Raw genomic sequence first — 26089 nt, 5'->3', positions numbered from 1 at the left:
ATTTGTCAGTTACTGTTATGATGAAGTTAATTGAAGTATTTACAAAACTTAAAACATTTAATCTTTATTATATTCCAAATGTTAAATTAATCAGTTTTAAAATTCTATATCTGGAAATTTCATGTGTGTGGTGGGGGAAAATTTAGCTTTTGGCTTTAACATAGCTTGCTGATTTTTTTGCTGTGTAATGCTTTCACCTCTCCACTGTGAATCCTTTCTGTGAAAGCCAGGGGAGAAAGATTTAGAATTTTAAAAAAGTACTTAATAGAGCCTTGGTAAAAGTGACTCTAAAAATAAAGTTCAGTAGATGCATAATAAAAGAGTACTCCTGTATTAATTTTCAGCATGTTTTTAACTGAACCCATTAGCTTTACCTATAAAGCAGCAACAGATGTTGATGATATGCACTTGAATTTTGAAAACCCTGCCTTGCACGTAACTGCACCAGTGCAGCTATGAAATATTTATGACATATTTTATCCCAAGCTTACCAAGGCCTGACTTAGCAAGAGACATAATTCTTTTATTAGAAACTCTTAATTAAAATGAGCTTCGTAAAACTAGAGCAGATCAATGATCTTTGGACCAAATTTCTGAAAAGAGCTAAACCTGGGAACAGAAAGTCACAAAGAAGCCCCACCTAATAATTCAGTCTCATTGTCCCAGGACTGGGTGATTTTTTTTCAATCTCTGCAAATTTGAAAATCAATATTCTTTCATAATCCTTTGAAAATGGGCTCACTGTCATAGCTCTGTCTTGTCACTTAGCTTATTAAGAAGAGCATCTATTTTAGAATACTTAACTCACTTTTTTGGTTAAAATTTATATATATATGGAGTGTAGAAATTTGCAAAATGGAGAGAGACAATAATTTAAGTATTTTCTTCTAGTCTTTTTCTCTGTAACTTAAATATAAATAGGATCTTTCTGTTTATATAATCCCATGCCCTGTTTTGTAAAGTAAATATATCTGAATAAGTAGTGTGCTATCTTTAGAGGAAAGAACATGGTCCTGTTTGCCATGAGAGCTGGACTGTAGCTCGGTATTTAACTTGAATTTTTCTCTTAAAAAAGATTTGGAAAGACTCTTTAGATCAAGAATGATAAAATAATAATAGCAATAATTAATAACAATAGTAGATCGAGAAAGCCTAATCAGGACTGATATTAATTTCTGTCTCTTTTCTGCCTGCCTGTCTCTCTCTTTGGTTATTGAGAGGAATGTCATCATGAAGCTGAGGGCGGTGGTGTGACAGCTGGAGGTGGTAACTTGTAATAACTTGTAATGTGGTCTAGTCAGGCCTAAATACTGTGTTCTTTTACACTTAGTAGTACCCTAAATCCCAAGCCATCATCATCACCACCACCATCAGACTTTTACATTTGGACAATGCTTTATATCAAAGAAGCAAAGCAAAACAAAACAATGTATTCTCATCTGAGCTGTGCACAAATTATTATTTCCATTTTAGAGTTGATTAAATTGCTGATTTGTCCAAGGTCACACATCTGGAAAGCAGTGGAGCCTAGGCCAGAACTCATATCTTCTGACACCCATGCCAACATTAGAACAAGTTTCTTTAGTAGAATATAAAATCCAGTCTCAATGAGCATGAAAAATAAAAGTAGGTGGATCATAGTCATATCAATAAAAATAACTGGTATTTATTAACTACTCACTAGATGCTTGGCACTGTGCCAAAACTTTACAGAGTTCTCTCATTTAATCATCTTCACAACCCTTTGAGATGACACTTTTGTGGAAAGTGCAATTGAGCACAGAGGCACAGGGAGGTTAAGTACCACACACAGCTTGGAGGTGGTGGAATGAAGACAGGAATTTAGGAGACTCTGACTCTGGAGGACAGTCCTCAGCATGATCATCAGTAGGCCATACCCACGTTAAAAATCTCATTTAAAAGCTAATTGTTGAACTGCTAGGTCATATTAAAAAGATTAAAGGGCCAGCTGGGTGCTGTGGCTCATGCCTGTAATCCCAGCACTTTGGGAGGCCGAGGCGGGTGGATCACGAGGTCAGGAGTTCGAGATCAGCCTGGCCAACATAGTAAAACCCCGTCTCTACTAAAAATACAAAGATTAGCTGGGCATGGTGGTGCGCGCCTGTAGTCCCAGCTAGTTGGGAAGCAGAGGCAGGAGAATCGCTTGAACCTGGGAGATGGAAGCTGTGGTGAGCCAAGATCGCGCCACTGCACTCCAGCCTGGGCAACAGAGCAAGACTCTGTCTCTCAAAAAAAAAAAAAAAGATTCAAGGGCCACTATACATTCTTTTGCTGCATTTTTACTATTTATATAAAAATAAAACATTTTTGTATTTTTTCAGCTAAACATTATTTCATCGTTTCTGACTTTATTAAAGACATTAAGAATAAAAACATTGAATTACTTGTCTTTGTTATATCATATTCTAAATTAATTTTCTATGTAATTTGAAGTACATAAAATTCATTCGGCTAGTCCATGCTCTATGGATGATATCTCTAATCATGTAGCTATTATTTTTTCTGGTATATATTTATCATTCACATTTATATTCACTTTTGGTTTGGTTTTTGGGAGATTTTTAATTTGTACTATACATTAATTTATCATGATATCATTTATTTACATTTATGTATATATTTATACACAGTTGAAAAGACAATCTTTTAATCATGTATTCACAATTTTTCGTAGATGTCAGACTCTTTAAACTAAATCTACTTTGAGAGATCCAATAACAAGCTTTTGAATCTTGGCAGAAGAAAAAGCTTGGCCCACAATCTTCAGCAGCGAAGGTTTACAATAGGATTGTTGGCAAGGAAGCAGCTTTTAAAATCTATTAAAATAGTGAGGAGCCAGACGTGAATAATTTTAAGTGAATCTCTTGATCATCTATTTTATATACTAAAATCAGGGTTATGTGACTGTACTTACATAGGTTGCCTAGAGACCAGTCAGCCTTCATCCATTTTTGTTATTTATGGGACAAAGTGCTCTGACTCAACCTTATTTTCATTTGTATAAATCTGCGTTGGTTTCTACTTTATCAGATAGGGTCAAAGAAGAGAACCGTTTCTCATTTTTCCAGAGCAAAAGTTGGCCTTGAAAAGAAACATCTATGCTATACTAGTCATGGCAGCAAGCAGCTTCTGTCTGGATCTAGATTACCTAAAATTATTAAGGAATGAATGCCTAGTGATAAAAATCCTTCCTCAGCCAACGTGACTCATTTCATACAATTTGTTGTGTTTTCTCTTGCCTCTTGGTAATATCTGTGGCCCCTTCTCTCATGCTCTATATACCTTGGAAACCTGCACTTTTGGAAACTCTAAAGGGTGAGACACTTGTGTACTTTCTTGCACAAGGTACACTCATGTTACCACCAAGCCATTTGAAGTTTAGTGAAGACCCTATATCATATTAGCGAAACTCTTCTCCTTCTGGCTAGCCAGTCTCTTGCATGCTTCCACGACCGGGTCTTAGGAAACCTCTAGTTACCCTTCCCTGTTTTTGACCCATGCATTCCTCCTCTCAGTCCCTGAACTTGATTGCCTGTGGTCTAGTTGGGTACTACCACCTGCTGGTCATTTAGATAATGTCTCAACACTGACCACAAAATTCTAACTGCAGTCTTACCTATATTTGTACATCCCACAGTGTTTTACTGATAGTGAGTGCCCAATAAATATTTGTTGTGCAAATGAGTAAATGAAGTTCTATCTTTTTCCCCCTAAAACTTTCATTCAACAAACAATGTCTTCAGTATCAGGCACTGTGCTGGCCACTGGGGAAACATGAAAGGCAGGATCTTAGCTTGGATGGACACAGTCTACTGGAGGATTCAGGCAAGTAAAGACCTAGTTACCTCGAGGGAACTGTCCCTAACATAGCTAGAGGTAAACAACACGTGTCATGAGAGCACAGAGGATGGGCGAGTAAACCAATTGGTAAGAGAGGAGGACCCTCTGTGAGAGCTTTCTGGAGCAGACAGCATCTAAGGTAAGTTTTGGGGCATAAGCAGGAATTGTATAGGGAAGAAGAGGAGGGGAGGGCAGGCACAGTGTCATCAAAAACCTGCAAGTGACTGAAATAGCAGGGAGCATACCAGAATAGAGGGACGGGGTTATGTAGTACAGGCTGGAACGCATGAGACACAGAGTCCAGGCTGGAAAGAAGCGGGGGACGTGTAGCTCAGGAGAGAAAGGAAGCATTTAGCCAAGGTTGACAAGACAGAGAACATGGAGACCAGGCTGGAGAGGGAAGAAGAGGAGAGGCCATAGGGGGCTTCCTGTGTCATGACCAGACCTTTGCATTCATCTCATAGCTGATTAGAGGCAGTTGAGTATTTAAGAGGGATAGTGATCTGGTCAGACTGGTTTGTTAGAAAAATCACTTTGGCAGAGGCGAGTGGAATACTTTGGTGGGTGAAAGGGATCAGAAGGTGGAAAATAAACTTGGAGACTATGGCAGGAATCCAGATGAGATTAGAGGAAGATGCAAATTAAGAAAGGTGGATGAGAAGAGGCAGGTACTACTAGAGTGGAATGGAAGGGCTTGGGGGCAGAGGGAGACGGCGATGCCATCCCCTGCATTTATTTCCTGTTTCTGCTGTAACAAGCTGCCACAAACCTGCTAGCTTAACAGAACACACATTAATTCTCTTACAGTTCTGGAGGTGAGACGTCTAAAATTGGTCTCAGTGGGCTGAAACCAAGGAGCGGGCAGGCTGCGTTCCTTCCGGGGGCTCTGGGAGGGAATCCCCCGCCTTATCTTCTCTGGTTTCTAGGGGCCACGTGCATTCTTTAGCTCATGGCCCGTTCCTCTGTTTTCCAAACCAGCAACGCAGCATCTTCTTGCCTCACTGACCTCTGCTCCATCTCACATGCCCGTCTCTCACTCTGACCCCCCTGCCTTCTCTAAGACCCTTGTGATGACACTGGCCCCCTGATAATCTATATTAATTTGCTAGGGCTGCCATAACAGACTCAGTGGCTTAAACAACAGAAGTTTATTTATTTATTTATTTATTTATTTATTTATTTATTTTTTACAGTTCTGGAGGCTGGAAATCTGAGATCAAGGTGTCAGCAGGATTGATTTCTTCTGAGGCCTCCTTAGGTTGTGTAGGTGCCGTCCTCTCCCTGTGTCTTCACATGGTCTTCCTGCAATGTGCCTGCATCATAATTTTCTCTTCTTATAAGGAACCTAGTCATTGGATTAGGGCATATCCTAAGGACCTCATTTTAGTTTAACCACCTCCTTAAAGGCCCTATACATATTCAGAGGTACTGGGGGTTAGGGCTTCAGCATATGAATTTGGGTGTGGACACAATTTGGCCCATAACAGGATTCTTATCTTAATCACATCTGAGAAGTCTCCTTTGCCATGCAAAGTGACATATTCATGTAGTGTGGGGAATGGATGTGAACACCTTTAGAGAGGGGCCATTTTTCAGCCTAATACATCCCCCAAAATATAAAGTACAGGAGAAAAACCAAGTCTAGGGGTTGAGGCTGGATGCTGGAATTTATGTATGCCAAACCTGTGATGCCTATGAAGCAACCAAGGAAAGAATCTTCCAGGTGATTGAATTTCCTTGACTATAGAGAAAGGCACTACTCTCCACTCTGTGTACTGCATACAGTGTAGGGCCTAGTTATATATTAGGCTGGTGCAAAAGTAATTGCAGTTCTCATTGAAAGTAATGGCAGGCTGGGTGCAGTGGCTCACGCCTGTAATCCCAGCACTTTGGGAGGCCGAGGCGGGCAGATTACGAGGTCAGGAGATCGAGACCATCCTGGCTAACACAGTGAAACCCTGTCTCTACTAAAAATACAAAAATTAGCTGGTCATGGTGGCACGTGCCTGTAATCTCAGCCACTCGGGAGGCTGAGGCAGGAGAATCACTTGAACCAGAAAGTTGGAGGTTGCAGTGAGCCGAGATCGCACTACTGTACTCCAGCCTGGTGACAGAGTGAGACTCCATCTAAAAAAAAAAAAAAAAAGAAAAGTAATGGCAAAAACCACAATTATTTTTGCACCATCCTAATACAGTACTTTTCAATGATTTTCTTACCCCAGTTGGTCTTAGATTCCTAGCTAGATTGCAAGCCCGTTGGTGCTGTTGTCTTGTTACTCTGTTGTGTCTAAACCACTCCAAACTTCATTTTCTTAATTTGTGAAACAGCAATAATAATAGTACCTATTTCATAATGTGGTTTTGGGGGTTAAATAGTGTGTATAAACTGCTAGTGCCTTTGACAGTGCCAGATAAACAGTAGTTATTATTATTATAATTATGATGCTCATAAACCTCCCCTATAGTGGTTGGCATCGCTCTGGGCGTGTGGTAGGTTTTCATGTGCTAACGAGACGTATATCACATAACCTTTTCATGAAGAGTTTAAAGACTTGTCAGAGAGATAAGAATTTACCTAGGGTAAAAGAGAAGGAAATTGATGTGCTTTAGCTCACCAGGTTTGGCAACAAAAATGTTAGAATGAAGATAATTAGAGACCTATTCAGCCACAGTGTTATTGGGTGCTTGATTTTAGGCACACAGTTCAATATCAAGATAAGAGGAAAAAAATTATTTTTGCATAAGACCGAGTATGTGCATGTATCTAACAGGACACCCCTTCTTTCCCCTGCACTCAATTTTTTGCATATGGACATACATAATGAGATAGAAAGTTGCCAGGTTGCAGATTCTTTCTTTTGTAGGAGCTACGTGTTGCCTTAAAGTGAACAGATCATGTTACCCTGAATCTGCATTTAGCCTTGAATATAGATGAACTCTTTTGTCTCAGTGACACAAGTGACAGATCTGGCAAAGCACAAAGCTGAAGTTGCAAAAAGATATAGACAACAGATTATACCGTAACAAGCATTTGGTATAATCTATGAATTTTTTGATAACCTAAATCCTAATTTTCTTGCTAATATAACACTTAGATTCTTATCCATTTTGAATGCTTAGGTTTATGCCTTTCATGTTTTTTATTTATAGGCAGATCCTATCAATAGATGAGAATCAGAGAGAAACAATAAATACATTTTAGCAAAAATAGTGTGGAGGGAAAATAGTTATTTTTCACAACATGTTTCATGTGAAAATATCTGACAGACAGCTTATTTTTTTTTTGGCAAATTGCTAAGGATCCAGAAGGATTAGAAAGTCCTCTTCCTCATGTCATTTGTCTAAAATACTAATTGTCAGAACACTCCAAAACCTCCTGTGCTTGCCAGAGTTTTTTTTATTTTATTTTTATAATCAGAAAAAAATACAGTAATGTGCAAATCTGGATGCAAATTACCTCCTGTTTAATTACATTATAGGTGTAAATTACCCCCAATGCCAAACATTTCTGCCCTGGGTTCCAGAACTGTGTGTTGCAATTACATCTTTCGTGCTCCTTTAAATTTTGCAGTGGTAACAAATGTGTAATACCAATAATTATGAAAACCACTTGCTATGTGCAGCTAATTTAAAATCTAGGTTCAGGATTCTATATTTGAAATGTGAAATTCAACCCTGTCAAATTTCCATCAACACTTAAATCTAAATGGTTCTTCTGTTCACAATGTCAGAAATAAGAAGTGACAAAGTTACCAAAGGCAAAGACTAAGACTCTGGGAATCAGTGAACAGGACAGCATCAGAAGGTTCCGTGACCTTGAACTTCCCTTGGCCTTAGTTTGCTCATCTGCCTAATGGGAGATGATATCTATTCTACTTAAATGAAACTGCTTTTTCAAAGACTAAGTGAGATCTTGCATTAGTTGGGTAAAAAGGCTAAGCTGATTAACGAGAGACCCAATATTACAGTGGCTAAAAGAACAAAGAAGCTTATTCTTCTTTTGTGTACTGATCCTGGTGGGGAGGTGGCCTGTTTTGTACTGTGTGGTCATCTTGGGGTTCTAGTTGGAAATGCGTCCACTATATCTGGGTTCAGAAAATGAGATTTTAATGAATTGATTGGGCCAGAGGGCATGCTTAGAATTCCGATATTATGGCACTCTGTTCTTCTTGAATGTTTCATCCATTACTCACCCCCTATCCAGATTCTACCCACTAGACCACAGCTCCATTTCTGCTTTCTCAGGAAGACTTCATTGCCTCCTCTCTCCTCTTAAGTTCTCCCAGCATGTAGTTGGCATCATGTGATTTGGTAATTATCCCAGCTCGTATTGTTTTATATTGCATATGCAAAGAAATCTTGTTCCTGCAATTAAACTTTAGGCTCTTTAAAGGCAAGGACCTCTTCTTACTGCTGCTTTATCCTTTTCCACTTTCCTCTTCTCACTGGGTATAAAAATAACATGCAATGTACACGTCTTATAAATAGACATATCGAATTAAACAAAATCAAAGAGCACATTAGAGCTGTGATTTCCTAGACTCAGAGGAAACAGAGGGTTTTGACCCTTTTCCTTGTTTTTTATTAATAACATGGTTAGGTTTGCTTAAGTTTAGATTTTGGATTCCTGATGTCCTGATCAGACTTCTCTATGATATCACTTGGGAACTCTTTCCTAAGTCCCGAAGTGTAGGTCAGGTAGTCTAAAAACAAGCTGGCAAGAGCCTGGAATTGTGGCCCTCCAGGTATGTGGCTTGCACTAGAATTAATTGTTGACAATGGCACTTCTGGATTCTCTCCATATTTCTGCTTGTCCCCTGTATTATGAAGGCTGTATACAGCCACATCACCTTTATAAAATACATTTTAACTAGAAACAATCACGGGGATAATTATGCATTTCTGCATTTCATTTACATAGTCAATGGCCAATTAATGTTTGGTGACCAGATGGTAAACTGGAAAGTAATTGATCTTTTCCAATCAATATGTGGAAAACAGTTGACTTTGACCTTTTGGATTTGCTTATCTTGAGGTGTTGTATATACCACAAGCTGGGCATTACAGGCACCCATCAATTACATCGATTGCCCTTTTGATTTTCCCTTGCTGCTGAGCTGGAGTTGAAATCATGCATTGTATCTACTCTAAGCTGGTTTGCACAGAGGAAGAGAAAAAAGGAGGAAGTACTTTGGTGAGTGTTGATGTTTGCTAGGGACCATTGTGGACAGCTTGAACCTCAGTTTTCAGAGGAAGACTAAGAGGGGACGCCTTAAAAACTAGTGGTTTCTCTCAAGGAATCTGCCTCATTCCTGAGTGTCAAGGACAGTCGTAATGGGTTCCAATCACGCATTGCCTCTGAAATCAAAGTGCAGCATTTGATATCTTGACTGATTTCTTCTTGGCCTGTAACTCTGCTATTTTAGACAAATCTGCGTGGGCTCTTGATAGACAGGTAGTAAAAATAGCAACTGTGTCACATGTAACTTTTTCTAATTAAGCATTTACATCACATTTTGTATTTCTAAAGTGATTTGGAAGCACTCAGATTCTTTGCCAGTGACGATGCTTTTGTGAGCCATATTGGTGAAAGCATTTTAAAGCTACCTTAATGTAAAAGAGATTTGAGTGAGCAGCATTGGAACCCACTCTTGGGTCCTAGTTTTTTTTTGTTTTGTTTTTGATTTTGAGACAGAGTCTCGCTCTGTCACCCAAGCTGGAGTGCAGTGGCACAATCTCGGCTCACTGCAAGCTCTGCCTCTCGGGCTCAAGCTATTCTCCTGCCTCGGCCTCCTGAGTAGCTGGGATTACAGGCATGTGCCACTACGCCCGGCTATTTTTTTTTTTTTTTTGTATTTTTAGTGGAAACGGGTTTTCACCATGTTGGCCAGACTGGTCTTGAACTCCTGACCTCGTGATCCACCCACTTTGGCCTCCCAATGTGCCAGGATTACAGGCGTGAGCCATCGCTCCTGTCCGGGTCCTACTTTTTCTTAGCTCCTGATTTGCTCTGCTTCAATTGATAAAGGAAAATGTGGAGTCTGAGGATGCAGAAAAGGCCTTTGAAAGATTAATTGACTCTAGGCGTAATGGTAACAAAACGGTTCTAGGTAGATGAAAATTATCTTGCTCTAAAAAACTATTTTAAGAGGAGAAGTCTACATTTGAATTAAAAAGAAGCATTTTCTTAAGTGGGTGAATAAAAGGCTGCTAAAAATACAGGAGTATCTCTTGGGGTAATGCTAACTAAATACCTCATTAAAAATCACAATGTAGAAAATTTACCCCCAGAAACGTTGATACCTTTCTCCTTGGAACCTAATGAAAGATCCTGAAACATTATTATTTATCCCATTCTTTTCCATCTAGTTTATAAGAAGATAATTATTTCCTTTCATGTACTATTCCTCTGGTTTCACTTTTGGTCATTGTTCATCATATTTTGGGATAACTTGTAGTTCTTACAATTTAAAAATTACCTCATTTTTTTTCTAGTGCCTAAAGCCTTTCTTTGCCTTGTACCAATTAGGTCACTAAAATAAAAATTGTTCCAAAACATGGTTATTTGTAATTTGAGCCACCTCACTGCTCAAATCACTCCGTGATTTTTGTCAATTTCATCTTAATAAACTGCCTCACATAATTGTTTTTTAATTCACTCGCTCATTTATTCATTCAGTCAAACAGTCAGTTACCATTCCTTGGAGTCCTATAATGATTAATATGTTGGGCTGGGAGCTGTGGGTTTTTCCCATAGGCCCCAGGGTGAAGGGCTGGAAGTTAAAAAGTTTAAATCTGAATATTGTCAGATAAGTTTCTGATTGTCAATGAAGGGTTGTTTCTTTTTCAGAATGTAAAAGTGACTAAGTATAGAGTCCTTCTACAGTTCAAAGCAAATGCTATCCCATTTTCTCTTACAGTATGCTAGACAGTGTGGTCATCATTGGAAAATTAGAAACAAATGTTACTTAACCTCTGTTCTGAAGAAGCCACAGTGGAGACGACATTGTGATATCATTAGGTGGAGAACTCCAGCTAGGAGCAATATATAGAAAGGTCAATCATGTTTGAGACACTTTATGTAGATTTGCTTTAATCCTCCAGTTGACACTGTAAGGCCAGTATTGTTGTTCCCATTTTAGAGATAAGAAAATAGGCTCCAAGAAATGTGTCACAGCTAGTAAACCAAAGAGCTGGAACTGGAACACATTTTTCTCACATATATGATTTTTCTTGTGGATTCGTCAGTTCACGCCAATCTGGGGAATACTCTGGAGTTAGCATGACAAAAATAAAACACAGTCTGTATTTTTCTGGTTCCTTCCTATAAGCCCGGAGCCTAGCCCCACCCCTGCTCAAGTCTTCTATCTGGATCAAGTGACATGATCAGATGGGTGAGTGTGTGTATTTGGGGGCTGGTGTGGATATAAGGGTGGGCTGGGAAGAGGTGCGTGGGCATTTTCTCTAGTTTGTGAGTGCTACCTTCACTCATTCATCTATTGGAGCACGTCCATTCCTCCCTCACTGAAGCCATTTTTCCTTTGCACTTCTGCAGTCTCTGTGCGGAGGCTGGTGGGTGGAATTATCCTATGCCTGCTGGGTCGATATGCTCAAGTGTAATTTGGCCACAAACCCACATGGTCAGTTTTGTTCTGAAAATCTGCTGATTTTCATATGTTGCTTCTCTCATCCTAGGATTATGCCATTTTCCGGAGGGTCACTGGGCTGGGAGATCATCTGAGAATTCCCACAGCATGATGAGCTTAAAAACCACTGAAGTTGCATAAGCCCCCAAAGCTACAAGATTTATGTACTCTGACTTCTCCTTTTTAGGTGATCAAGGGGTTAGGAGGTTGAGTGAGAGGAATGAGTCTACCAACGTGGGTAAAATACAGACCAGTACCTGGGTAGATCTGGATATACAGGGGGCACATAGCTTGGTGTATGTTCTGGAATTCAGTTTACTAGTTTGAAGCCTACTTTCATTTTGTAAGATGGTAAATTACAGACATTAAGTTGTAAGAGCTTTTACGTCTTTATGGATAAATGGACCCTGAGTACTAAATTTTGACCTTGAACTGCTTAAGACTTCTCCAGGATGATCTGCTGATCAGTAGCACTCAAATATCTGAAACCAAACTCTTGGTCTTCTCTCACCACTCTTCCTTTCTCTATTCATGTCACCATCATTTTCCCATCATTCTTGTCTGAAATCTGGGTATCCTATTTGATGCTTCCCTTCCTAGTTTTCCTACCATCAAATCTGTGGTCTAGTCCTGTCGTTACATAGATAACATTTCTTCCTAGACTTCACTCAAGATGTATCTGTCAGATAACAAAAATGTCCTCAGCATCAAGGCAGATTTGGGACCGGCACACTGTGTGTCAAGACAGTCCACCGACAGTATCTATGTCAACAGGGACAGAGAATGACCTGCCCACTCCTAGTCTCTTTATGCAAAAGACAGCCTGAATAATCAACTTCTTGATGTTCTTCTACGTTTTCTGAATTTTTTTTTTTTTTTAGGGGAAAACCCTCTTCTTGATATTAGCAGGGCTTGTCCATTTATGCCTCTGATCCACATAGAATGCTTTGTCTGGCCAAATCATAGGCTCTTGGCAGCATTAAGAAAATAGATTCAAGATCATCTGGTCTCAGTTTGTACGTGAAAAAATGGAAACGTTAAATGACTTGTTCAGGTGTATTTACCTAGAAAACAGTTGATTTTGGAATCCAAATGCCTGTCTCCTAATTCCAGAGATGGGACTTTGTTTATTTGACACCCACTTTTGTTTATCTTCTAAGTTGCAGTGTGAGGAGTGCAGTGCAGTATGTGATGGAAGAGAACCAGCATGTATGTGGTGGGGTGAAAGACAGACAGAGGTGTATGAATTCACATTCTTCTGCTATGCACAGTCAGCTATGGGCACCTGTAAGTACAGTCTCCAAGGCCACTTTGCTCATATGTAAAAAAAAAGAAAAGAGAAAGGAAAGCACCAGGCTTTCTTTCTCAGTTTTCTTTTTGCTATAAATATCAGAGCCATAGAAACCCTTTATTTATCAAATATTTATTGAATCAGCTCTGTGACAGGCACCGTGAGAGGAGCCGGAGATGCAGACTTGAGTAAAGACGTCTCAACCCCCAGGAGTTCAAAGCCTAGTTCACCTTCTCCTCACACTCATTGAAGACAGACAAATCTTAATTTGTAAAAAGCCTGATTTATTGAACAGAATAATGACAATTGAGAGGTGGAAGGGGTCTTAATATATATTATTTAGTCTGAACTTATAATTTCACAGGTAAGGAAACGGGCCATAGCAAAGTTCTGATCTTCCAAAAGGCCAGAACTTGCTTCTTAGCATTTGAGTTAAACCTAGAATTCAGACTTCCTGGCTCCTAGGCACGATTTTTACAATTATACTCTATTTACCTCAAAGTGGGCTGAGAAAATGGCTGAATAGCTGTTTTCAGAAACGGAAAAATCAAGTGAGAAACTGAAAACAAAAACCCATGACTGGCCCCTGTAGGCAGAGTTGAGTGGGGTCTGGACACAGTTTGTAGTTTGTTTTTAAGTTTATCAGGAATTTCTAATGTGCAGCCTATGTTGAATAATGATGATAGTAGAAGCTATACAGGATATAAAGTGAATAAGACATCTCTTGATCTCCAGAGACTCCTTTTATTTTATTTTTTAAAGGACAGGGTCTTGCTCTGTCACCCGGGCTGGAGTGCAGTGGCATAATCATGGCTCACTGCAGCCTCAAACTCCAGGACTCAAGAGATCCTTCCACCTCAGCCTCCCAAGTAGCTGGGACTACAGGTGCATGCCACCACACTTGGCTAATTTTTAAATTTTTTGTAGAGACTAGGTCTTGCTATGCTTCCCAGGCTGGTCTCAAACTCCTGGCTTCAAGTAATCTTCCTGCCTTGTTCCCCCAAAGTGTTGGGGTTACAGGTGTGAGCCACCACGCCCGGCCTAGTTGCTCCCTTCTAATGGGAGGAGAGAGATGCCCTTTATGTCTACCATGGCTCTGATAAAAATGTATCAATGTAAAGTAAAATCATTTGCATTTTAATCTTGCCAATTAATTCTGTAGAGTTGTAGCTTTTTACTTTATCAGTGATTGTTTCTTGAAATTGAGTTGGATCTTATTTATATGCCTATATTATGTCTCAATTTTAATAGTAGACTTAATTAGATTTCAAGGATAGAGTTTATTCCACTTTCCGAATGAACTTACTCTCTGATTTAATTATAACATTGGAAAGTTGGGTGGCTCTGGTGAAATGTAGTCTTCCAACTGAAAAAAAAAAAGAAAAGAAAATGAGTATCTTTAAACTATGAGGAGATCAAAGCCTAAACATAATTGATAACAAACATCTTTCAACCTTATCTTCTCTGTTCTACCCGAACTATCTCAGTGTGTTTGGGCTGCTGTTGCAAAATACCATGGACTTGGTGGCTTATAAACAACAGAAATGTATTTCTCACAGTTCTGGAGGCTGGGAAGTTCAAGATCGAGATACCTGGTGAGGACCTGCTTCCTGGTCCATAGACAGCTATCTTCTTGCTGTCTCTTCACATGGCAAAAGGGAAGAGAGATCTGCTCTGGGGTCTGATTTATTTATGTATTTATGTATTTATTGATTTATTTATTTAGAGATGGAGTCTCGCTCTGTCGTCCATGCTGGAGTGCAGTGGCGTGGTCTCAGCTCACTGCAAGCTCCACCTCCCGGGTTCACACCATTCTGCTGCCTCAGCCTCCTGAGTAGCTGGGACTACAGGCGCCCGCCACTATGCCCGGCTAATTTTTTTTGTATTTTTAGTAGAGATGGGGTTTCATTGTGTTAGCCAGGATGGTCTCGATCTCCTGAACTCATGATCCGCCCACCTCGGTCTCCCAAAGTGCTGGGATTACAGGCTCTGGGGTCTGTTTTATAAGGACACTAATCTCATTCATGAAGACTCCACACTTATGAGCTACTCACATCCCAAGGCCTCACCACCTAATGTCATCATACTGGGGGTTAGGATTTCAACATATAAATTTTAGAGGGCACAAACGTTCAGTGAATAGCATCAACCTAGACAACTCTTTAATTATTCATTGGTTTTCTTCCTTGTGGTTAGAGCACAAGTAGGGGTCTTAGGGGTTGAGATGAGGGGCACTTGCTTCATCATGGGACTCTGTCAAATATGTAAAGGAGCAAATTTCCCCTTGTTATCAGTAGCTCCTTAGCTCCCTTGGTTCACACTAAGCTTTCTCTTGACTGCCCATATTTCAGACAGTAACCAGCTACCTTCTGACTTCTCATTCTACATCCATAGTTTACAGAATTTTACTGATATATCACTAAAGAAAACTTTTAGGGTAGGACCCCAAAAGTTACCTATGTGAAGCTGCAAATTAGAAATAAAAACCTGTATGACATAGGTAAACCTTTGCAGTGCTGGTTTCATTAATGCTTACATTAACTGCATGTCTCAAAGTTAAATCTAATCGACTTGTTTAAGACAAAGCCAGCCTGTGGGCTCCGTGGTAAGTCTGTCCTATTCCAAATTTCTTTTTTTTTGAGACGGAGTCTCTCTCTGTCACCCAGGCTGGAGTGCAGTGGTGCAATCTTGGCTCACTGCAACCTCGGCCTCTTGGGTTCAAGTGACTCTCCTGCCTCAGCTTCCTGAATAGCTGGGGTTACAGGTGTGCACCACCAAGCCCAGCTAATTTTTGTGTTTGTAGTAGAGACGGGGTTTCACTCTATTGGTCAGGCTGATCTTGAACTTTTGACCTTGTGATCCGCCTGCCTCAGCCCCCAAAGTGCTGGGATTACAGGCGTAAGCCACCACGCCCGGCTTCCAAATTTCTTAAGCTGGCTACTGTGTACATGGTTTGCTTTCCCAAAATGACATTGTTTGTGAGTTCAAGGACAGATCCTTACTTGAAAACAGCTCTCCGACTGGCTCGTTGGTGGTGTCTGAAACTGTACAGTGAAAGGAACTTTAAAAGCCTGCTATTAGCATAAAGTACTTAATTGAACTTTGACATCTTAGCAGTAGCAAATATTATTATAGAAAAACAAGAGGGATTTGTGATGATATGGATAAAACAGTGATAAGAGACAGGTACTCTGTCTACTTGGTGAGAAAATGTCAGTGACTATCGTAATGATGACTATTGAGAGTACATCAGTTGGGGAAAAAAGAGATTGGAAAAACCTTTGGGAGCTTGGCAATAGCTTGAAAGTCTAGAAAACAGGAATCTTCTGACAGATGTCATGAAACATATTGAGTCAATTTTAGGACTACAATGACTTATTTAAAAATATTTAAAAATATTTATTTGCTATTTCCCTGTAATAATCCATTCCAATTGCATAATCATTTATAACTTACAAATAATTCTTGCTTCACAATTTCATTTTGTCCTGTCGGCATCTTGGTGATGTTAACTACTTCTGTTTTATAGATAAAGAGACTGAGCCTCAGAGACCCTAAATGATGCTTCAAGGCCCCAAGGTCAGTAGAGTAATAAATCTGAGGCCATTTCTCCTAAACGGGGGGGAGGCCAAGGCTTTTCTCACGATTCTGCATTCTGCGGACACTTCAGATGGCTGTAATTTCATGTGAATCTTACTGTGTCCCACGTTGATTGGAAGGTACTGTGGCCAGGGGCTATGCTGACCCTTCTCATTGGTTTCTCCAAGTGTCTACAGTGGGGCATCTCAGTCTTGGCGGCCCAATAAAATCCCTGAGGCTCGAGGCTCACTCTGAGACATTCTGATTTAATTTGCTGAAGATTTAGCCTGGGTATTAGTATAATTGTAAAAATCTCCCTGGGTGATGCTGATGTGTACTATAAACCAGATTCTAATGGGCAGGATCACCGGTTTATAGTAATGGCTCTCAGTATGCCAGAAATAGGGGTAGGATGTTTGTTTATGAGTGTGTGTGTGTGTGTGTATGTGTGTGTGTGTACCCATGCCCACCAGATTCACCTACCAGACTTTCAAAGAATATTCTGAACAAGGCTCTCTCCCCTGGGTGTATCAGAGATATTGTCTTTGTTCATTACAGTGTGATGGGGTCAGGAGAGAAGGGAGAAGGGTGTTAGATAGAGATTTGTATTTTGAAAAAAAATTATAGATGATTTTATTAATGACCTGCCTTCTTGCACCATAAAAATACTTCTTGTGATTGTGAAAACATAAAGTACCCTCAATGGTTAATTAACAAACTGACTGATTTTTCTTGTTCACACTGTCCAACTACTTGGAACAGGTAGAGTTGTGCATCCTAAGAGCTGAGGAAATGAGGATGCAGAGAGGAAAGTTACCCTTTGTCAGGGGCAGAATGAACTGCAGAGTGAATCTTTCTGAAAGACTTGACTTCAGGGACAAATCTTCAGGAACTGAAGGGAGATTATCATCTTTATCAAAGCATTCTGGCTACCAAAATATTTTCGGAGGGTTGTCTGGTTCAGTCGTTCACGCAGCAACAATTTATTGCATGTCCAATATGTGCTAGGCACCTGCCTCAGCACTGAAGATGAAATGGTGAGCAAAGCAGATGAGTGCTAACTTGTGGTTCCAGAAAGTTCGATTATTGTATGGAGAGAATGCTTCAGAGAGCCCTTGAGGGCTTGCAGGTGGCTCACAGCACATCTCAGCATCTGTGGTTGCAAGAGCAAGGTTCGGGGTGGCTGGCTAGAGTCAAAAGAACTAGTGACAAAGTTAGTTAGCCAAACGATGCCAGCTCCAGGGGAACCAGCAGCCTGGAGTGTGAGACAATTGGGGCTGAACTGCAATGGACAGTTAGGAAAACATTTCTACAGTCAGCACTGCCAGTTTGCAGGTTCAGCTCAGTAGCCAGATTAGGAATTAAATATGCAGACAGTTCCCTCTACTGGGAAGATGCTATTACTGCATACCAAGCGCCAGGTGGAAACAGAGATGGCAGTGAGATTTTCTGGTTTCTGAGAGGCACCCCATTGAAAGTACAGATCACCCCACAACTCTTGCGCATTTACCCCTGGCTCCTTTATTACATTTCTCTTTTTACTTTATCTGGCCATCACACTGTCTTTTCAGCCAATCGCCTGATAGTACTGAGCGTGCACTGGGATAGGACAAGGAGCTCCTGTCTGGAAGGTGCCTATTGTCTTGTTGGGGAGACCAGGCATGCATACAGAAACCAGCTGAGAAGAGCTCTCATGTGTGTCCCTCTTTCAGTTTTTCCTTTGAAGAGGCTTCTTTCCTCTTCCAGTTTCCTCTTGTCCCCCTGAATCCATCCTCTCATAATCTCCAGCCTAGACAAAGACAGTAGCCCAAGGCCTGTTCTGTGCCTCTGTTCTCTCATCGTAGCCAGGTCATCTTGCTGCGTGCCCTTTTGTTATGCCCCTCACTTGCTTAATTTAAGAGCCCAGACTTGTGTGGACACCTCTTAGTTACTGTATTACTTTGAAAGTGACTGCTTATTGTCTGTTCCTCTAGCAAGGTGTAAACTCATTAAGAGCAAGAAGTGATTCTGATGGAGCGATAGGCACATAGGTATTTTCTCTATTACTTTATGTTGGAAGTCCTTCTATCTTAGTCTTTTTTCTTTTGCTAGAGGGCAGGGACCTTATTTAATTCATCTTCGTTTCCTTAACATTTACTACAGTACCTGCTAATACTTGGGTCTCAATGAACATTCTGATAGAAATTCTCGAACAAAGATGTTGATAACAGCATTATTGATAATTTACTTAAAAATGAAAATGAAAAAATGTATTCAAACATAGAGGAACAGGTAAGTGAATAATGTTATCTCCATGGTATGGCCAGTTATTAGTCAATAAAATTATACTTTGAGGGATGTTCAAATTCATGGTGATAAGTTTTTCGTATCATGGTAAATTAAAAAAGGAAGCTGTTTAAAAATTGAGCTAACCTGTACAAAATAGGCACAAAAATAGTGTTGGAAGGAAATACTAAAAAATGTTAACAGTGGATCTCTAATTTCCTGTGGGTCCATTTTTTTTTCTATAATGAGGTTATATTACTTCTTCAGTCAAAAAAAACAGCTATTACTAAATTCCATGGTATAATCAGTCCACGTCCATTTTTTTTTCAAGGCCATTAGGATTCCCTGTTGCATATAGAATGAAAACCAAATTGCTTTGTTTGGCAATTTAGACTAGGCTCAATAACTACCATTTAGCTTCATTTTTTTCCAGTCTTCTTTTTCTATATTCCATATTTCAGTCATATTAAATTTCTTAATAGTTTGTATTTTAAAACAATTTTATTAAAAATGCATACCCAATGATAAAAATTTTGAAAATTCTGAAAAGCATAAGGATAAGCGAAAAGTGGCTGTGAGATAGACACTATCAATATTTGTCAATTTCCTGTCTTCTTATATATATCAGAATTAATTTGCTTGCAGATTTATATTCACATATGTTTTATATGTAAATACTTTGCCACATATATATAATTCTGCATATTTTGTCTTTCACTCAAAAAGCATGTTTTCTGATTGCATTACAATTTATTGAAAATTGTTTTTGGCAAATAATCTCTCTCCTTAAATGATCTCATTGACTTCGTTGAGTTTAAATGTATATCTCTGGCTGAGAATTTTCTTTTTTGCTTAATACCTTCCTATCAATTACCAGTTGGACATCTACATTTGTTACTGGCCAGGTCCAGGTCCATTCTGCCCAAATGGAGTGAATCAATCACTGTGGCATAGGTTTTGCAAAAGAGGAAAGCTTTATCTGTAAGGCCACCAAGAAAAGAGGTGAGAAAACAGCTGTCAAATCTGTCTTTGTGAAGATAAGGCTTAGGGATATTGACAGTTTAGGGGAGTGGGTGGTCTAAGGGATGGGAAGAGGTGGTTGGTAGTGGGGGCAAATGAAGTAACCAATTCATTCTACACGAGTGTAGTCAGAGTTCATGGCATTTCATAGGACATATGCACAGGAAATGGTGGTGTTAGCATGATCTGGAGGAGTTTTTTGCCCTCTGATGTCAAAAGGCCACCTCTCGGGTACTTGCGCAGGCCCAGTTGAAGGGTTAGTGGTCTCAACCAGTTTGAATGAGATAGGAGGTGGCCCAAGTTCCTGAAAAACAACTGAATCTACTGTTGCCATGGCGACCTATGGATGTTATCTATACAGTAGCCAGTGAAGGTTAAGTTTCAGTGTTCAGTGGTGTGGCCTTTAGCTGCTACAGCCTTCAGCTTCACAGAAAAATGAAGAAAAAAATAATGAAAAACAAGCAACCAAAAGCAAGCAGGCAGGCAGCCCTGATCAAATTAACCCGTTGGTTTCACACTGATTGGTATTTCAAATGTAACATGCCGTAAATTGGACCCAATCCTGCTTCTCCTCAATTCTTCCCAATTTAGGAGTTGAGCACGTCCATTGACCAAGTCACTCCTGAGAGAAACTCCGAAGTTATACTTCACATCTTTACTTCCTGTCGGGGGTTGAATTATGTCATCTCTCCTTTTCCCCCACAAAAAAGACATTCCCAATAAGGTCACATTCACAAGTCCTGACCCCCAGTCCTTGTGAATGTGGTCTTATTTGGATATAGGGTTCTTGCTCATGGAACCAAGTTAGATAAGCTCATAATGATTCGGGTGGGCCCTAAAGCCATTGACTGGCATCTTTATAAGGGAAAAAAGAATGAGATTTGGATACAGAGTCTCAGAGGCGACCTAGAGGCAATAGGGCCATGTGAAGATGGAGGCAGAGACTGGGGGGATGCATCTGCAAGCCCCAGAGTGCCAGGAGCCACCAAAGCTAGGAGGAGGCGAGGAAGGATCCTCCCCAACAGCCTTTGGAGGGAGCATGGCCCCGCCAACACCTTGATGTTTGGACTTCTGGCCTCCAGAACTGTGGAAAATACGTTTCTGTTGTTTTGAGCCACCAGGTTTATGTCGCCCAGGCTGGAGTGCAGTGGCGTGATCTTGGCTCACTGCAACCTCCTCCTCCCCGGTTCAAGTGATTCTCCTGCCTCAGCCTCCCGAGTAGCTGGGATTACAGGCGCCTGCCACAGTGCCCGGCTATTTTTGTATTTTTAGTAGAGATGGGGTTTCACCATGTTGGCCAGGCTGGTCTCGAACTCCCGACCTCGTGATCCACCTGCCTCGGCCTCCCAAAGTGCTGGGATTACAGATGTGAACCACCATGCCTGGCCCTCTCTCTTTTTTTTTTTTTTTTTAAACACCATTCCCCAGTATAAACCACCTTCCTGTATGTCTCTTCCATGCCACTCTAATAGCCTTCCTAATGACCTCGCTCTTATCCCAATCCTTATAACAGCCCCTGTGAGCTTCCAACAATGTGTCTCCCATACCAGGTCTTTCAATGGCTTCCTATTTCACCTGGGAGGTGAACAGGAATCCCTCAAAATGCTAAATGATCCTCCTCCTGCCCCCTGGCCAGCCCATCACCTGCTGTTTCCCCTGCTTGCCACTCGGGCCACCTTTTAGGTCCTCAAGTGCTTTAGTCTCCTGCCCTCCTCAGGGCCTTCACACGTGCTGCTCCCTTAGCCTGGAGTGCCCTTGCTCCCACCCTTCCTGGTTAACTCCTAACTGCTGCTCACCCTTCTGTTCTTGGAGAGGCCTCTCCAGACTACCTCATATATATTACATTTCTGTTGTCATCTCTCATGACACTGAATACGTCTCCATGGCCTTATCCCAGATGGCACTTTATCTTTACTTTTGTGACAGTTGGCTTATTGTCCACTGCCCCACTGTCCTAGCTTCTCCTCTGATCTTTATTTTCATCTACTAGAGCAGTTCCTGACACAAAGTGAATGCTTTGAAACTAAATATTCAATTAAACATGTTCCCTCTGACTGCACCTCAAGGTTATTGAGAGGACTCACAATAGACAATGCTTAAACCCATCTGTAGGTCTTGAGGCTTTGAAAGAGGCTGATGTTCCTGTGAATATGATGGTGAGCAAAAGCAAAGCTGGTTAAATATGACCTCTTAGAGGAGGTCAGTGGCTTAGAGTGAGGGCTCTGGAGTCCGTTGCACTTGGATTTGAACGCCAGTTCTGCTATTCATAAATCTGTGATCCAGGGCAAATTGTACCCATCATTGGTAAATTAGGTTAATCGTGCCTACCTCCCAGAATTGTAGGGATTCACTGAAAGAGTAAATGCACACGGTCAGTGATCAGTAGAACACAGCTGCTTTTATCCTCCTCATTTTTGCCATCAAACCATCATTCCTAAGACTGTGTTTTCCCACTTGAAGGTTGCTGGGGAGTTCCTTGTACTGTGTTTGGGCCTGCAGTGCCTGCCTAAACCATTTCTGATGAAGCTACACCTTTGGGTACCATGCTTTGTCCCACCTGCCCATCTCAGGCAGAGACGGTCTCTGCCTCCCAGGCATTCCAGACTGTTCCTGGCCTTGGCTCCTGGTCTCCCTCTGAGGGCTGTCATGCTGCAGCCAGTCCCAGCGAGTGCCAAGCTTTAGCCCAGACACCAGAGAGTGAGAACTCTGGTGAGAGGCTCGTGGCAGGAAGGAGGAGGCTTGTGGGAAGAGGTGGAAAGGGTAGGGTTGGGGGTGGAGAGTGCAGGTGAGGAGCGGGAATTAAATCCAGCTTTTGACTCTGTAAAAATTTCTCCAGGAGGAGTAGTCTTTCAAAGGATGGTTCCCAGAGTGACAGCCTGGGCTAATTGCCTGGAGAAATAAACGAGAGGACAGGCAATGAATAAAAGCCAGCTCTCAGCAGGAGTCTGTGTATCACATCCTTCCTTTTCACATTTCATGTTCATATTTAAAGCTCCCATCCAAAGACCCATAAAACAACAGTCTCTACCGGTAATGATTTCCTGGAGGCCCCCTGGAAAGCATTAGAAAAGATGTTTCCTTTTAATAGGCTTTTCGGGGAAGAGAAAATCAATAATTTCTAGGGAGATGCTTTACAGATGCAAATTTATATTATCCAAATACTCCTGGTTACTACCCTATTTCCTCTAAGAAATGGCTGCATGTTAATGTTGTCTCTGGTAAAGACAGACAATGACTTGCAGTTCTCAATATGGATACAATGAAAGACATGCTCAAGGTAGTAGATACCTTGCAGAGCCTTCTTACGTGGTCTTAGTTACCTCTAGCTGCTTTTGGCTATTGCAAATAAATTTCTTCACGTGATTTACATAATGGAATATTTAATAGAATTATTCTTTTTAAGACCCTGACAAATTAAACCAGTACCTAATGCAGATAGCTCTACATTTAATAGAGGCTTGACTAATGGGTCTGTAATAAAGATACACTATATTATAAGGACCTGGGAATTGAGGTATAATCAGAAGATGAGTTTTCTAAGAACACTGCTTTTCAATCAAGTTGTAAGTTGCTTTGAAAAATCAAATTCATTAGTGGCCAGCCATGGTTCTACAATCTGCAGATGTGGTTTTCTCTTTTCTCCATCTTTGCATATTTTATTCTAATGATCCTCCATCTGTTCTTTCTTCTGAGAAATGGGCTAAATTTCAGAAAATACAAATCAGAGATGAATGTAAAACAAAGGTGTCTCTCATATTTTAACACACCCCGTCTCTCCATGCTATCCCACAGCGCAGCCCCCACCATGCTTCACACCATCAGTCTCTGTTCCCTCTACTTGGAGAAGACCTTGTCCATTCCAAAGTGAAGTGAAAAAAGAAATGTAGGAGGGGAAACCTGGACATTCCATGGACGCGACTGGGGGTGGTTCAAAAGAGCTCCTTACCCAGAGTGATGGGCTTGACATTTTGTCCTTACTGTTGTCCACTGAAAGGTTAAATAACAGGTAGTATAACTTACATAATTTTAAAGTTCTTTTTATTTTGAGCCAAGGTGGAGTACTAACAGCCCAGGAAATACGGACTCAGCACAAACTAAGAATGTGTCCCAGAGTGACCTATACAAGACATAGTATTTTTTTAATTTTAATTTTTTTTTTATAACATGGGGTCTCTGTTGCTCAGGTTGGAGTGCACTGATGCAATTACAGCTCACTGCAGCCTCAGCCTCCTAGGCTCAAGCAATCCTCTCATCTCAGCCTCCTGAGTAGCTAGGGCTACAGGTGTGCACCACCATGCCTGGCTATATATATATATATATATATATATATATATTTTATTTTTTTTGGTAAATTTTTTTGTAGAGATGAGGGTCTCACTTTGCTGCCCAGGCTGGTCTCCAACTCCTGGCCTCAAGCAATCCCCCTGCTTTGGCCTCTCAAAGTGTTGGGATTAGAGGCATGAACCACTGTGTCTAGCCATAAGACGTGGTCTTTATACGTTTTGTTCATAGAAAATGGAAGAATGGGGGTAGTGAAGTAAAGGTGATATTTTTATAATTCTGATTGGTGCACAGTGACGTTAGATATAAGACAAAACAAATACATGGTCAGCACATATAGGTTAATGAGCATGTAGATGTGTTAGGGTCTAGAGAGGGATGATTGATTTTATCTTGCCTTTATGTTCTAATGAACAAAATTATAATCAGTATCTGTCGATAAAATATTTGACAAACTCTTGCTTTGCAGATGAGAGTTCAGATTTAATTTATAGGCCTAGTTTTTATTACCCATATGTCTCACCTATAGTCATCTTGGGTCACTTTATTTTATTTATTTAACATTTTATTCTAATTTTCCTTTTCTTGACACTGTTGCTAATCTGTGGATGACTTTGGGCAGGTCCTTTATCCCCTACATTAGTTATCTCTCTGTATTAGTTATCTACTGCTGTGTGGCAAATTACCTCCAAATTTAGCAGCTTAAAACAATAAAGGCTTATTATCTCAGATTCTTTCTTTTTATTTCCTTTTTAACAAATAGGATTTGCACCAGGATCACATAATTTCTAAGGGTTAGGAATCTGGAAGCTGCTTTGCTGGGCGGTTTCAGCTCAGGGTCTGTCCTTGCTCTTCCCACTGGCCTGCTTACAATTCCCATCACCAGCCACTACCTTTAATAAGGGCACTGACACTACCAGAAAATAAAATACTTTTGGAAGAGACATTTGGAAGAAGAAAAGTTAATGCAATGTACGATTGTCAGCTCCTAGCGCTCCCCTCCAAACCAGCTGAACATGTTTTGGCTCCTTCGCACAGGTGAGAGGCCACGTGGCAAATGCAAAGTGCCTAGAGTGTAAAGTAGCAGAAGGCTGCCTTAAAACCCCAGCTTCCCCACGTACACTGTGAGCCTGGCCAAGTTCCCTGAGATCTCTGAACCTCAGTTCCTCGTTCGTTACATGACGGAAATCGTGTTGACCTCATAGGGTTTACTGTGAGAATTGAATGAGGTAATTCCTTTATATGTATATGTAAGTATTTTATTTTATATTCAAGGGGTACATGTGCATTTTTGTTACAAGGGTATATTGCTTGATGCTCAGGTTTGGGCTTCAGTTGATCCCCAAACGGTGAAGACAGTACCCAATAGGAAGTTTTTCAATGCTTGTTTCCCTTCCTCTCTCCTCCCTTTTGGAGTCCCCAGTGTCTATTGTTCCTGTGAACGAGATAAATTTTCTTTTTTTCTTTTTAATACAGGCTCTTGCTCTGTCACTCAGGCTGGAGTACGGTAGCACTGTCGTAGCTCACTGCAGCCTTGAACTCCTGAACTAAAGCAACTCTCTCGTGCCAGCCTCCCAAAGTGCTAGGATTACAGGTATGAGCCACCACACCCAGCTAGTTTTAATTTTTTTTTTTTTTTTTGTAGAGACGGGGTTTCACTACGTTGCCCAGGTTGGTCTGGAACTCCAGGACTCACTCAATCTTCTAGCCTCGGCCTCCCAAGGTGCTGGGATTACAGGCGTGAGCCACCGTGCCTACTCGAATGAGGTAATTCTTGACAAAATAAATGTGTGGCTAGTACATCTTAACATGCTTTTCTTGCTGTACTTGTCTCTGTAGCAAGTGCTGGCTGTGCATTAGCTTTCTTGTCCCCTTCACCCCTTTGGTAGTGGAGCCTGGAGAGAATTTACTTGGGAACTCAAGTGTGCCAGCAAAGGAGACACAATTGATGAGGGTACTAAGCACACTGTTTGGGTGATGATGTTTTTCAAAACAATATCATTAGATCTTCACATACAGAGCTGGGAGATAACATAGTCCCTATGACAGATGTTAGACTAGGACCCCAAATGACCTCGTATGGTGTGCCAGTGTCTTCTTCATTTGCTCCAAGGACACAGCATGAATAGAATAGGCTTTGCCATCA

General features: G+C 40.8%; 1 long non-coding RNA gene across 1 annotated transcript; it reads left to right on the top strand.

Moving 5' to 3' along the window:
- Positions 23453-25751, top strand: LOC105379329 (uncharacterized). Its single transcript, XR_002956697.2, has 3 exons — positions 23453-23668; positions 24982-25172; positions 25589-25751. It is a non-coding gene; the product is annotated as an uncharacterized LOC105379329 (long non-coding RNA).
- Positions 25752-26089: the final 338 nt, after the last annotated feature.

Source organism: Homo sapiens, chromosome 8, assembly GCF_000001405.40.
Source record: "Homo sapiens chromosome 8, GRCh38.p14 Primary Assembly".
NCBI classification, from domain to species: domain Eukaryota; kingdom Metazoa; phylum Chordata; class Mammalia; order Primates; family Hominidae; genus Homo; species Homo sapiens.
The sequence above is the reverse complement of the archived record's forward strand: the minus strand, read 5'-3'. Positions and strand labels throughout refer to the sequence as shown.